We start from the raw sequence: 15,657 nt of genomic DNA on the forward strand, positions 1-15,657 counted from the left end.
GATCTCTGAGGTGATGCAACTCTTGTCTAGGCACTGCCTACAGGGGACATTGGTACATCTCTCTGCACTGATCACCGAGGAGATGGGCTCTTGTCTTAAATCTGCCTACATGGACATTGTGACACATTTCTGTATTGATCAACCAAGTGATGAAACTCTTGTCTAGGCTCTCCCTACAGGGGCTTTGTGACACATCTCTGCACTGTTCACCCTGGGGGGAGAAGTCTTCTCTACGCTCGGCCTACAGGAGGCTTTATGACTTATACCTCCACTGATAACCTAGGTGATGTAACACTGGTCTAGGCTCTGCCTACACGGGAATTCTCACATGTCTCTGCACTGATCACCCAGGTGACGTAACTCCTGTCTAGGTTCAGCCTACAGGAGCGTTTTGACATATCTCTGCACTGATCACCCAGGTGATGTAACCCTTGTCTAAGCTCTGCCTACAGGGGCATTGTGACAGATCTCTACACTGCTCACCCAGGTGATGTAACAATTGTCTGGGCTTTGCCTACAGGGACTTTGTGATATACATTTCCACTGATCCAACAGGTGATGTAACCCTTTTCAAGGTTCTGCTTATAGGAGCTTTGTGACATATCTCTGCACTGATCACCCCAGGGAGGAAACACTTGTCTACACTCTTCCTACAGGAGGCTTTATGACTTAACCCTGCACTGATCACTAGGTGATGTAACACTTGTCTAGGCTCTGTCTACACGGGAATTTTCACATATCTCTACACTGATCGCCTAAATGATGTAACCCTTGTCTAGTTTCAGCCTACTGAGGATTTCTGACATACCTATGCACTGATCACCGAGGTGATGTAAATCATTCCCGGGCTTTTTGTACAGGGGACATTGTGAAATATCTCTGCACTGATCACCCAAATGATGCAAATCTTCTCTAGGCTCCGCAGGGAGGGGCATTGTGACATGTTTCTGAACTGATCATCCAGGAGATGTAACCATTCTCCAGGCTTTGATGAAAGAGCATCGGAAGGTGTTTGGAGAACCTCAGCCAGAATTTCACTGACGGAAAAGGGCATAGAGAGGCCAGCGGGCTCCCTTGCACGTCAGCCAGTGTGCACAATGAGTGCAGGTCTAGCCAGGAGGCCAGCAAAGAGTGCTAGAGGTCTGCGTTCCGCCGCCAAGCGCTCCATGGTGGCAGCTGGGAGGCGGCAGGGGCACGGGTGGGCTGGTGACGGTGGCGTGGAGGCAGAGAAGAGGCGAGCCGCTGGACTGTTGTCAGGCCTGGACGCTGCGCGGGCCCGGTGTTTCTCAGGACAGGGGTCTCCACCCAGCCCTGGGGAGGACGCATTTTCTGGGGGGATTGTGGGAGTGCGGAGGGGGTGGTCGTGCGGGGGTGGGGTGGTGGAAAGGCGTGAGAGCTCTGCCCGGCTGCTCTCAAAGCCCAGGCGGCTGCCCAAAAACCCTTGCGTGCGCAGTATGCGGCCCACCTCTGGTACCTGGGCCGGCGGTGGGATCCACGGGATTACCAAGAAAAAATGGCAGTTCTCTGCTGTGTGGAGCCTCTCACCAGGCCTAAACCTAGAAGGCAGGAATCCCAGGCCGGTCAGCCCAGTGGTGGGGGTGGGGTGAAGACTTGCCCCTCTATAGCCAGCCAGGTGTTCCTGGCAAAAGAGAGTCCACCGCCCTGCCCCGACCCGACCCCGTCCCAACCCCATGTCCTAAAGCTCCTCCAGCAGACCCCGGTATTCTTCCTCGCTGAGGGGTTCTTCCAGCGAGGCGGCCTCTTCCAAGGCCTCCAGCTCCCCTGGGGCCTCCGTTTCTAGGAAAGGTAGCCCCTGCTGCAGGAACTCCTGGCTCACCAGGAGCTCATCCAGCAGAAGGCCGGAGGGGAGTGCAGACGAGCACCCTGGCTCCTGGAGCACCTCGGTGGGCACCTGGATGCCTTGCATCAGCCCCTGCCACGCGGAGGCCTCCGGGGGCGTGGGCTGGCGAGGTGGAGCTGCTCCGGCTTGGGGTTCCCACGCTGCCCTGGCGACCTGGGGACCCCGGCCCCAGCCCCACCACGGACTCCCCTGGGACGCGGGTATCGCAAGCACACCTTGGCCTTGTGGCCCCGCTTGAGCGGGCCCAGGCTGTCCCACCGCGCAAGGGCCCAGCAGGCCGTCACGCTGCGGTTCCCAGTCCTCCCGGCTTTTGCCTGGGTGCCGAGGCCACCGAGGAGCCTGAGGGTGGGAGAGCGCCCCTTCCAGAGGAGCCGGGGTGGCGTAGAGAAAATCCCCGCGTGCTGGGGCAGGTTGGGAGATCCCCTCTGCCGGCACGGCCAGGCTGGCCTGGAGCACAGGGACGGCCCTCGCTCCCTGGCTCACGAAAGCCCCCTGAGGGAGAGCCCCAGGCTCTAAAACCTACACAATCTAGTATATTCTATAGCAGCAATGCATAAAGACAGCTTCACTTACCTTGTAGAATTTATACGTACACTAAATTTAAGGAATGCGTTACTTGTTATTGGAGTAGGAAAATAACTCACAGCAGAACTGATTTGCATGAATGGCTATTAAACTATCATCGATGTAGAAATTAAACGTTAAGCTATTCAGCCCCAGATGTGTGAGAGACAGAGAAAATCTTCAAATGAGTTCAGCTACCAAATCCCTTCCTCAATAGCTCTTTGAGTCTCAAGACAGTTTCAACCACACACAGCCTTAGAGTCTTATGGTCCAAACAACATTTGACTGCAGCTCTAAAGTAAGCAAATATTTGAAAAGAAACAATCAAAGATCTATGTCTGTAGTTATGGTCAAGGAGGCCCACCTACTGGTGGGTGAGCATGGCAAGGATAGGGACTAAGACAAATGATGGATTTACCAAAACAGAAACAAGATAAGCCAATGGAAGCAGAGTCCAGGTTATAACAGGAGCCCAGGCACTTGATGTGGGAACCCTATTTGTCTCACTTAGCGCTAGACTTTTAACGTCCTAGGAAGCAGAGCTAATGCCCTTCATTATTTTTTTTGTAATTGACTGCATAGTTTAGAACTATGCCTTGAATTTAATATCTATCTGTTGAATAAATGAATTAATAATGATGAAAATCTGTCCACAGGTTATGTGCAGTACTGAAGAGCAACTTCAGCTATTGAGGTATCTATCAGAAGTCTTACTCTCTAAAAAGCCTCTGGTTAATTACTGATATAGGTTGCTGACAATTTCACTCTCACAATGTAAGGGAAGCAGGAATGTTATCTGGCCTCTTGGCTCCTATTCCTTTGCCTTCCACAGATCTCTCTGCTGGTTCACAGAGGAACAGTTTTGTGGCTTTCAGTTCATTTTGCAATTCTGCTAGAATCTCATTCCATCCTCAGTTGTAACTAGCTTGTCCTTCACCCAACGCTTATTTATGGAGGGACAGATAGCAAGAAGAAATCGCACTCTGGATTACAAAGTGGGAAGATGCACCCCCTTGGCCAGAATGCCTGCCTCCTATGTTCATGATGGATATTTCTAATTGATCTCGGCACTCTTTTCCATTGAGCCCATGTCCCAAATTGGCCCTGAGTTAGGGAGAGGGCTCTAGAGTGGGAAAGGTGTACCCAAAACTTCCCTAATCTGACTATCAAGCCTAAAAAATTAAACTTTCAATTCAACATCCCTTGTTTCTCCAACTTGGAGTGCCTGATTGTGTGGGAAGCCCCTACTCATAAAATTCATAGTTGAAGATTGTTGGCAATTTTGCCCAACCCCTTCTTTTTTTTGGTTATACTTTAAGTTCTAGGGTACATGTGCACAACGTGCAGGTTCGTTTCATATGTATACATGTGACATGTTAGTGTGCTGCATCCATTAACTCGTCATTTACATTAGGTATATATCCTAATGCTTTCCCTCCCCTAGCCCCTCACCCCACAACAGGCCCCAGTGTGTGCTGTTCCCCTTCCTGTGTCCATGTGTTCTCATTGTTTAATTCCCACCTATGAGTGAGAACATGCGGGGTTTGTTTTTTTGTCCTTGTGATAGTTTGCTGAGAATGATGGTTTCCAGCTTCATCCATGTCCCTACAAAGGACATGAACTCATCATTTTTATGGCTGCATAGGATTCCATGCTGTATATGTGCCACATTTTCTTAATCCAGTCTATCATTGTTGGACATTTGGGTTGGTTCCAAGTCTTTCCTATTGTCAGTAGTGCCTCAATAAACTCCTTCTTTCTTTGCCTAGTTACACCTCAACGCAACCTCCTGGCAGGCCAGCCTTAAGCCCAGCAGTCCAACCATGCATCTAAGCTGAGTTCTCATCAGAGCCAACTTCAATTATAAACAACTGAGATGATGCCAGAGGCCAGAATCCCTGAGAACCTAATTTGCTGTCATCTCCATGGCTGAAACAAGGCGCTTGTCATCTAGAAAAGCTGATCTGTAGGAAATTTCCAATAGAGTTCAATTTTTCTAAGTTTAAAGTATACAATATCATCAAGGTCAGACACTCGAGATAAAACTAGGCTTGCGTTTAAATATAATAAAAATATTTGAAGAATAGTAAGAGTGGTGACTACTTTTACACAGGAATGTTTTAAATAAATTGCTTTTTTCTTGTGCCTTTAAAATTTTGTGATTTGTCAATGAGATGCTGACATATTTTTAATGAAGCATGCCTTGTAAAATAATAAGTGAATGAAAAATACACAGTAATATTCACATCAACAAAGCTAGAAGAAGACTGTATGTCTCATGAGGCTCCATCATCTACCCAGTGGCGACTTGACCAAATTAAGATCGAAATACCAAAAAGAAAAGTAATTAAAATTTGTGTTGTATGCCTTATAAGACCAAACGTATAAAATGAGGGGAAACTTCACAATTACTTGTAATTTGCTCTGTGGAATTGTAACAGATGGATTATAAAGATGATTCTACGATAAACATCTAAATGTGGTTACTACCTTCTGTGCTTTCTTGGTTCATATTTTTATTGTTTTTTTCTTTATAAACAGATAATTCATTCTTATCTATGGCAATGCAAACTTTTCAGATGTATTGAATATGTCATAGTTTTTATCTATTGTAGGCATCTCTAAAAAGGTATAGAAAACAAACAGAGCAAAGTCTGGTTTTGGAAAGGAGAGAGAAATAAAGCTTGTAAAGGAATGAAAATTAGAGCTTTCTGGAGATAAAAATTGTTAGAAGATACAAAAGCTAGTTACTGAATTAGTTGAAGGTTCTTTTTCAGTTTTTCCCAGTCGTTCACCTCTTAGAAGGCACATATTCACAGCAGAAAAGAAAGAAAGGGTTAAAAAGAAAATACCTCAGTGTAGTGAGACTGTAATTTCATGAGGGCATTACTGAAGACTCACTTTTTCCAGCATCACTCAGCATGGTATTATGCATGCGTGTAATGTAAAGGAAAGTGAATATGCATTCTTGGATGGGTGATCAAATTGTAATTCCAGAATATAATCAGAAGCTGATTCATTATCCTCTTGAGATTTCACAATCTTTCCATCAGCAATTAAAATTCAGAAGAGGGTAAATGTATCTGATCTTTTGAATGTCATAAATTAGAGGGTGGAGCCAAGATGGCCAAATAGGAACAGCTCCAGTCTACAGCTCCCAGCGTGTGTGATGCAGAAGACGGGTGATTTCTGCATTTCCAACTGAGGTACAAGGTTCATCTCACTGGGGAATGCTGGACAGTGGGTGCAGCGCACCATGTATGAGCCAAAGCAGGGCAAGACATCACCTCACCTGGGAAGCTCTAGGGGTCAGGGAATTCTCTTTCCTAGTCAAAGAAAGAAAGGGGTGACAGATGGCACCTGGAAAATCAGGTCACTCCCACCCTAATACTGCACTTTTCCAACAGGCTTATCAAATGGCACACCAAGAGATTACATCCCGCACATGGTTTGGAGGGTCCTACACCCACGGAGCCTTGCTGTTTGCTAGCACAGCAGTCTAAGATCAAACTGCAAGGTAATAGTGGGGCTGGGGGAGGGGAGCCTGCCATTGCTCAGGCTTGAGTAAGTAAATAAAGCAGCTGGGAAGTTCGAACTGGGTGGAGCCCACCAGAGCACAAGGAGGCCAGCCTGCCACTGTAGGCTCCATCTCTGGGGGCAGGGCACAGACAAACAAAAGACAGCAATAACCTCTGCAGACTTAAATGTCCCTGTCTGACAGCTTTGAAGAGAATAGTGGTTCTCCCAGCATGCAGCTTGAGATCTGAGAACGGCAGACAACCCCCCCTAGTTGGTCCCTGACCCCCGAGTAGCCTAACTGGGAGGCACCCCCCAGTAGAGGCAGACTGACACCTCACATGGCTGGGTACCCCTCTGAGACAAAACTTCCAGAGGAACAATCAGGCAGCAGCATTTGCAGCTCACCAATATCCACAGTTCTGCAGCCACCACTGCTGATACCCAGGCAAATAGTGTCTGCAGTAGACCTCCAGTAAACTCCAACAGACTTGCAGCTGAGGGTCCTGATTGTTAGAAGGAAAACTAACAAGCAGAAAGGACATCCACACCAAAACCCCATCTATATGTCACCATCATCAAGGACCAAAGGTAGATAAAACCACAAAGATGGGGAAAAACAGAGCAGAAAAACCGGAAACTCTAAAACTCAGAGTGCCTCTCCTCCTCCAAAGGAATACAGCTCCTCACCAGCAATGGAACAAAGCTGGACGGAGAATGACTTTGACGAGTTGAGAGAGGAGGGCTTCAGAAGATCAAAGTACTCCGAGCTAAAGGAGGAAGTTCGAACCAATGACAAAGAAGTTAAAAACCTTGAATAAAAAATTAGACAAATGGATAACTAGAATAACCAATGTGGAGAAGTCCTTAAAGGACCTGATGGAGCTGAAAACCATGGCACGAGAACTTCATGACAAGTGCATAAGCCTCAGTAACCGATGTGATCAACTGGAAGAAAGGGTATCAGTGGTGGAAGATGAAATGAATGTAATGAAGCATGAAGAGCAGTTTAGAGAGAAAAGAATAAGGCCGGGCGCGGTGGCTCACGTCTGTAATCCCAGCACTTTGGGAGGCCGAGGCAGGTGGATCATGAGGTCAGGAGATCGAGACCATCCTGGCTAACAAGGTGAAACCCCGTCTCTACTAAAAATACAAAAAATTAGCCGGGCGCGGTGGCGGGCGCCTGTAGTCCCAGCTACTCGGGAGGCTGAGGCAGGAGAATGGCGTGAACCCGGGAAGCGGAGCTTGCAGTGAGCTGAGATTGCGCCACTGCAGTCCGCAGTCCGGCCTGGGCGACAGAGCGAGACTCCGTCTCAAAAAAAAAAAAAAAAAAAAAAAAAAAAAAAAAAAAAAAAAAGAATAAAAAGAAATGAACAAAGCTTCCAGGAAATATGGGACTATGTCAAAAGACCAAATCTACGTCTATTTGGTTTACCTGAAAGTGACAGGGAGAATGGAACCAAGTTGGAAAACACTCTGCAGGATATTATCCAGGAGAACTTCCCCAATCTAGCAAGGCAGGCCAACATACAAATTCAGGAAATACAGATAATGCCACAAAGATACTCCTAGAGAAGCACAACTCCAAGACACATAATTGTCAGATTCACCAAAGTTGAAATGAAAGAAAAAATTTTAAGGCAGCCAGAAAGAAAGGTCGGGTTACCCACAAAAGGAAGCCCATCAGACTAACTGCTGATCTCTCCGCAGAAACTCTACAAGTCAGAAGAGAGTAGGGGCCAATATTCAACATTCTTAAAGGAAAGAATTTTCAACCCAGAATTTCATATCCAGCCAAACTAAGCTTCATGAGTGAAGGAGAAATAATATACTCCACAGACAAGCAAATGCTGAGAGACTTTGTCACCACCAGGCCTGTCCTAAAAGAGCTCCTGAAGGAAGCACTAAACATGGAAAGGAACAACTGGTACCAGCCACTGTAAAAACATGCCAAATTGTAAAGACCATCACGGCTAGGAAGAAACTGCGTCAACTAACGAGGAAAATAACCAGTTAACATCATAATCACAGGATCAAATTCACACATAACAATACTAACCTTAAATGTAAATGGGTTAAATGCTTCAATTAAAAGGCACAGACTGGCAAATTGGATAAAGAGTCAAGACCCATCAGTGTGCTGTATCCAGGAAACCCATCTCACGTGCAGAGACACACATAGGCTCAAAAAAAAAGGGATGGAGGAAGATCTACCAAGCAAATGGAAAACAAAAAAAAGTCAGGGGTTGCAATCCTAGTCTCGGATAAAACAGACTTTAAACCAACAAAGATCAAAAGAGACAAAGAAGGCCATTACATAATGGTAAAGGGATCAATTCAACAAGAACTAACTGTCCTAAATATATATGCACACAATACAGAAGCACCCAGATTCATAAAGCAAGTCCTTAGTGACCTACAAAGTGACTTAGACTCCCACACAATAATAATGGGAGACTTTAACACCCCACTATCATCATTAGACAGATCAACGAGACAGAAAGTTAAAAAGGATATACAGGAATTGAACTCAGCTCTGCACTAAGCAGACCTAATAGACATCTACAGAACTCTCTACCCCAAATCAACAGAATATGTATTCTTTTCAGCACCACACCACACCTATTCCAAAATTGAGCACATAGTTGGAAGTAAACACTCCTCAGCAAATGTAAAAGAACAGAAAGTATAACAAACTGTCTCTCAGACCACAGTGCAATCAAACTACAACTCGGGATTAAGAAACTCACTGAAGGCCACTCAACTACATGGAAACTGAACAACCTGCTCCTGAATGACTACTGTGTACATAATGAAATGAAGGCAGAAATAAAGATGTTATTTGAAACCAACAAGAACAAAGACACAACATACCAGAATCTCTTGGACACATTCAAAGCAGTGTGTGGAGGGAAATTTATAGCACTAAATGCCCACAAGAGAAAGCAGGAAAGAAATAAAATTGACATCCTCATATCAGAATTAAAAGAAATAGAGAAGAAAGAGCAAACACATTCAAAAGATAGCAGAAGGCAAGAAGTAACTAAGATCAGAGCAGAACTGAAGGAAATAGAGACACAAAAAACCCTTCAAAAAATCAATGAATCCAGGAGCTGGTTTTTTGAAAAGATCAACAAAATTGACAGACCACCAGCAAGACTAATAAAGAAGAAAAGAGAGAAGAATCAAATAGATGCAATAAAAATTGACAAAGGGGATATCACCACCAATCCCACAGAAATACAAATTACCATCAGTACCATCAGAGTATACTATAAACACCTCTACACAAATAAACTAGAAAATCTAGAAGAAATGGATAAATTCCTCGACACATATACTCTCCCAAGACCAAACCAGAAAGAAATTGAACCTCTCAATAGACCAATAAGAGGCTCTGAAATTGAGGCAATAATTAGTAGCTTACCAACCAAAAAAAGTCCAGGACCAGATGGATTCACAGCCGAATTCTACCAGTGGTACAATGAGGATCTGGTACCATTCCTTCTGAAATTATTCCAATCAATAGAAAAAGAGGGTATCTTCCCTAACTCATTTTATGAGGCCAGAATCATCCTGATACCAAAGCCTGGCAGAGACAAAACAAAAAAAGAGAATTTTAGACCAATATCCTTGATGAACATTGATGCAAAAATCCTCAATAAAATACTGGCAAACCGAATCCAGCAACACATAAAAAAGCTTATCCACCATGATCAAGCGGGTTTCATCCCTGGGATGCAAGGCTGGTTCAACATATGAAAATCAGTAAATGTAATCCAGCATATAAACAGGACCAAAGACAAAAACCACGTGATTTTCTCAATAGATGCAGAAAAGGCCTTGGACAAAATTCAACAATGCTTCATGCTAAAAACTCTCAATAAATTAGGGATTCATAGGACGTATCTCAAAATAATAAGAGCTATCTATGACAAACCCACAGACAATATCATACTGAATGGACAAAAACCGGAAGCATTCCCTTTGAAAACTGGCACAAGACAGGGATGCCCTCTCTCACCACTCCTATTCAACATAGTGTTGGAATTTCTGGCCAGGGCAATCAGGAAGGAGAAGGAAATAAAGGGCATTCAATTAGGAAAAGAGGAAGTCAAATTGTCCCTGTTTGCAGATGACATGATTGTGTATGTGGAAAACCCCATCGTCTCAGCCCAAAATCTCCTTAAGCTGATAAGCAACTTCAGCAATGTCTCAGGATACAAAATCAATGTACAAAAATCACAAGCATTCTTATACCCCAATAACAGACAGAGAGCCAAATCATGAGTGAACTCCCATTCACAGTTGCTTCAAAGAGAATAAAATACCTAGGAATACCACTTACAAGGGATGTGAAGGACCTCTTCAAGGAGAACTACAAACCACTGCTCAAGGAAATAAAAAAGGATAAAAACAAATGGAAGAACATTCCATGCTCATGGGTAGGAAGAATCAATATCTTGAAAATGGCCATACTGCCCAAGGTAATTTATAGATTCAATGCCATCTCCATCAAGCTACCAATGACTTTCTTCACAGAATTGGAAAAAACTACTTTAAAGTTCATATGGAACCAAAAAAGAGCCTGCATTGCCAAGTCAATCCTAAGCCAAAAGAACAAAGCTGGAGGCATCATGCTACCTGACTTCAAACTATACTACAAGGCTACAGTAACCAAAACAGCATGGTACTAGTACCAAAACAGAGATATAGACCAATGGAACAGGACAGAGCCCTCAGAAATAATGCCTCATATCTACAACTATCTGATCTTTCACAAACCTGACAAAAACAAGAACTAGGGAAAGGATTCCGTATTTAACAAATTGTGCTGGGAAAACTGGCTAGCCATATGTAGAAAGCTGAAACTGGATCCCTTCCTTACACCTTATACAAAAATTAATTCAAGATGGATTAAAGACTTACATGTTAGACTTAAAACCATAAAAACACTAGAAGAAAACCTAGGCAATACCATTCAGGACATAGGCATGGACAGGGACTTCATGACTAAAACACCAAAAGCAATGGCAACAAAAGCCAAAATTGACAAATTGGATCTAATTAAACTAAGGAGCTTCTGCACAGCAAAAGAAACCACCATCAGAGTGAACAGACATCCTACAGTATGGGAGAAAATTTTGCAACCTACTCATCTGACAAAGGGTTAATATTCAGAATCTACAATGAACTCAAACAAATTCACAAGAAGAAAACAAACAACCCCATCAAAATGTGGGCCAAGGAAATGAACAGACACTTCTCAAAAGAAGACATTTATGCAGCCAAAAGATACATGAAAAAATGCTCATCATCACTGGCCATCAGAGAAATGCAAATCAAAACCACAATGAGATACCATCTCACACCAGTTAGAATGGCAATCATTAAAAAGTCAGGAAACAACAGGTGCTGGAGAAGATGTGGAGAAATAGGAACACTTTTACACTGTTGATGGGACTGTAAACTAGTTCAACCATTGTGGAAGTCAGTGTGGTGATTCCTCAGGGATCTAGAACTAGAAATACCATTTGACCCAGCCATTACTGGGTATATACCCAAAGGATTATAAATCATGCTGCTATAAAGACACATGCACACGTATGTTTATTGTGGCAGTATTCACAATAGCAAAGACTTGGAACCAACCCAAATGTCCAACAGTGATAGACTGGATTAAGAAAATATGGCACATATACACCATGGAATACCATGCAGCCATAAAAAATGATGAGTTCATGTCCTTTGTAGGGACATGGATGAAGCTGGAAACCATCATTCTCAGCAAACTATTGCATGGGAAAAAAACAAACACTACATGTTCTCACTCATAGTTAGGAATTGAACAATGAGAAAACATGGATACAGAAAGGGGAACATCACACACCGGGGACTGTTGTGTGGTTGGGGGAGGGGATAGAGATAGCATTAGAAGATATACCTCATGTTAAATGACGAGTTAATGGGTGCAGCACACCAACATGGCACATGTATACATATGTAGCAAACCTGCACGTTGTGCACATGTACCCTAAAACTTTAAGTATAATAAAAAAATTAACAGGGGCCTTTTATACAGATAAATTTGATTTGCATCATGATCAGCACTAAAGAGCATCACAGATTTAAACCATATTTACACAGTTAAAACAATGTAACCAAATATGCAATATATTATGAAACATTGTACAAGATGCTTTTCAAACATGCAAATTGACCTTTAAAACAATTTTACATAAAATAACATTTTTTAGGTAAGAGAAAAGACAGACATGTGGTTAGGGCAACATATTTCTGCTCAAATTACAAATTCCTGAATGACAAATCACAGGATAGAAAAAAATTATATTGTACCTGGAATTTGAAGTCTTCAGATTTATTTAGATATATGTATCTATATGTATTAATAGAGACATATTAGTTTAGAACAGTTATATTTTGAAGATGTCATTCTTTAAAAACTATTAATATCTACAGGATTGCTGCAGATATTTTAATTTTAAACAAATATTTTTCACCAATGTGACCAGTATTTATGTCCTATTTTATTAAACAGACATTTCAAGATTCTTTTAGAGTTAATTTTTAAAAATTAAGCATCACAAATACTTCTGAAGTACTACCATAAAAAAAAACCCTTTTCTGGCTTTTCATATAGTTAAACATTTTCATAATGACTAAAAAGGTAAAAATAAAATAACAACCATAATTAAATTAGAATTCTACTTTTTATATCAGATGAAATACTATATAAAATGTCCAGAAAATCTAATGTTAATGAGGCTGTGCAGCCTGGACTTTTGATGTCTCATCTGTGGGAAAGTGAACTAACCCAACCATTCTGAATAATTATTAGCTCTGTGTGTTAACAGTCTAGAGTCCTGAAACAAGGATCTTAATTCTAAAATCAAATCCCACTCTAAGAATATACCAAGGGTTGATAATGAAGTTTCAAAGTTATAGAGAAGAACCTTCATCCTAGCATTATATATGTAATCATCCATATAAACCAGATAGTGTCGAATGAAACTGCAGAAAAACAAAGAGCCTACAGAATATGTTTCTCTTTGTGTACAACTGTAAATGTACACATCTATCCATGTAAAATTTCACATCTCAGGAAGATAGGTACCAACATGCTAACATGCTATATCTATAAGATAAGAAATATTACTTTTCTACAATTTCATACACACACACACACTCACACACACTTACACACACACCGAGGATATATACGCACACAAATATATATATAAACATACATGTTTATATAGGTACACACACACATACATATACACAGATGGTCAACAACTTATAATGGTTCAATTTATTATTTTTTTTTTACTTTATGATGAAGTAAAAGTGATAGCTTTGAATAGAATATAACTATTCTGCTTTTCACTTTCAGTACAATATTCAACAAATTACATAAAATATCCAATACTTTATTATAAAGTGGGTTTTGTGTTCAGTGATTTTGCCCAATTGTCAGCTGATGTAAGTGTTCTGAGCACATTAAAGGTATGCCAGGCTAAGCTGTGATGTTCAGTAAGTTAGGTATTAAATACATTTTTACTGACTCTATTTTCAATTTATGATCAGCTTATCAAGACTTAACCCCATTGTACATTGAAAAGCATTTGTATTGCATTAAGCATGTTATATAATATTTTTTAATTGAAATTACTGGCAACTTTTGAAAAAATTAAATGAAATAATGTGCTGTGCTATTGGCTAAAATGTTTTTGGGCAGGGTCAGTGGCTCACACCTGTAATCCCAGCACTTTGGTAGGCTGAGGTGGGCAGATCACTTGAGGTCAGGAGTTTGAGACCAGCCTGGAAAACATGGTGAAAACCCATCTCTACTAAAAATACAAAAATTATCTGAGTGTGGTGGCATGTGCCTGTAATCCCAGCTACTAGGTAGGCTGAGGTGTGAGAATTGCTTGAACCAGGCAAGCAGAGGTTGCAGTGAGCAAAGATCGTGTCATTGCACTCCACCCTGGGCAACAGAGTAAGGGTCTGTCAAAAAAAAAAAAAAAAAGAAAGGAAGAAAAAAAGAAAAAAAAGTTTTTAGCTTCAAGTAACAGAATAGTCAACTAATTGTAGAAAAAAATACGTAGCAACTTTGACCAAATCGCACAACAAATAGATGGTATCAATGTTTAGTTAATTCAACATGATCCACTTCTTTGTGATTCTCTTATCTTTCTACCTATGTTTTCAAGATGGATATGGCATTCCCAGCCTTACAACTTCATGTGAAAAAATCCAATGGCAGGAAAGAATAAGTGACGGCATTTTGGAACTTTAAGGAAAAACTTTAAGGATTGGAAAACAGGGATGCCATAAGTCCAGTAACATGGGATAGCCGCTCCTAATCAAGGATGGCTGTATGTCCTGAATGACTTTCTAACGTAATGAAGGTGAATAACCTGCTTTGTTTAATTATACAATCCCAAATGTAACTGCTTAGTGCCAAGTACTTTTGCATGGTTTTAATATGCCATGAATTTTGCAGGAATGAAACTACTATGTATATGAGAAAAGACGGTAGATTTTTTCGTTTAGATACTCATTTCAGAGTCTCAATAGGAAAAAGAGAACACACACAAACTAAGATAATTTAACATGGGTTTATTTCCAAAGAGACTACTTACGAAAATATCAGGGGAGAAGGGTGAAGGAATCACAGAAATCACACCCCAAAATATCTCTGGGTTAGTAGCGGCAGGCAGAGTCCTGGGGAGTAAACTGCCCTGATCACACAAGGAAAAACTAATTTTCGTATGAAAAAGATTGGTGAAGGAGACCTGGCAGAGAGGGAGTTTAGGCAATAACCCCCAATCCCATTTCCTCCTTCCCTTTAATCTCATGAACATGCGTAGAAGGCAATGAGCAAGAGAACCGATTGAGATATTCAATATGGACCATTCCACTTGGACAAAAGCCAGTAAATAGGGGAGTATAACAGGGGACAAGGGGCAAACAGAAAGTATCTATTACATTTACCAATGCAGATCAATCATGTCAACAATAGAAATCGCAGTTTTGGCATTTGGTTATTCAATGAAACTATATTTGTGGCTTTTTATTTACAATGTTTCAAGGTATGGGCGAAGATATGAAAATTTCATTATGTTCTATTGTATTTGATATGTAAATGTTCTGGCACAATTATATACATTTTGGATTATATATTGACAGTAAATTATTTCTCCTTTGTTAGCTTCAGCATAACATTAATATTTTCAACAACTTGAATGCATACATTGTGTTCTCACTAATAGTTTAGAATAATGAAGGGGTCTTTGAAGAATTTCTTATGAAGTAGAGGCATTGGCTCAGACAGAGCCAAAAACCATTGGCTTAGATTAATCACTATTTATCCTAGGGCTGAAGAGGGCCAATTGAAGAAACAAATGTCCAATCCCTCAATGAGGTGGGAGTTCTATGAAGCAGAGAAATAGAGACTGGTTCTTAAGGAGGTAATAAGTGTGCCTTCTATGGTTTATGATAATATGCATTGTCTTAACAATCGAATACTTAAAAGTTAATGCCCTCATAATATGCAAAATTTTTAACAAGCACATTTGTTCCTGTGTTCAAGTAGTTGGTAATCAAATTAGTGAAGTATGATAAGTCTTTTGAAGAGCATTAAACAGCAGAGAATGTAAGAAATTTGTCTCTATAATAGTGTGGACCTTCTG

General features: G+C 41.4%; 1 pseudogene; it reads right to left on the bottom strand.

The window, feature by feature from the left end:
* DUX4L44 (double homeobox 4 like 44 (pseudogene)) lies at positions 911-2,372 on the bottom strand (annotated as a pseudogene).

The sequence above is a fragment of the Homo sapiens genome, chromosome 22 (genome assembly GCF_000001405.40).
Source record: "Homo sapiens chromosome 22, GRCh38.p14 Primary Assembly".
In the NCBI taxonomy this organism is placed as follows: domain Eukaryota; kingdom Metazoa; phylum Chordata; class Mammalia; order Primates; family Hominidae; genus Homo; species Homo sapiens.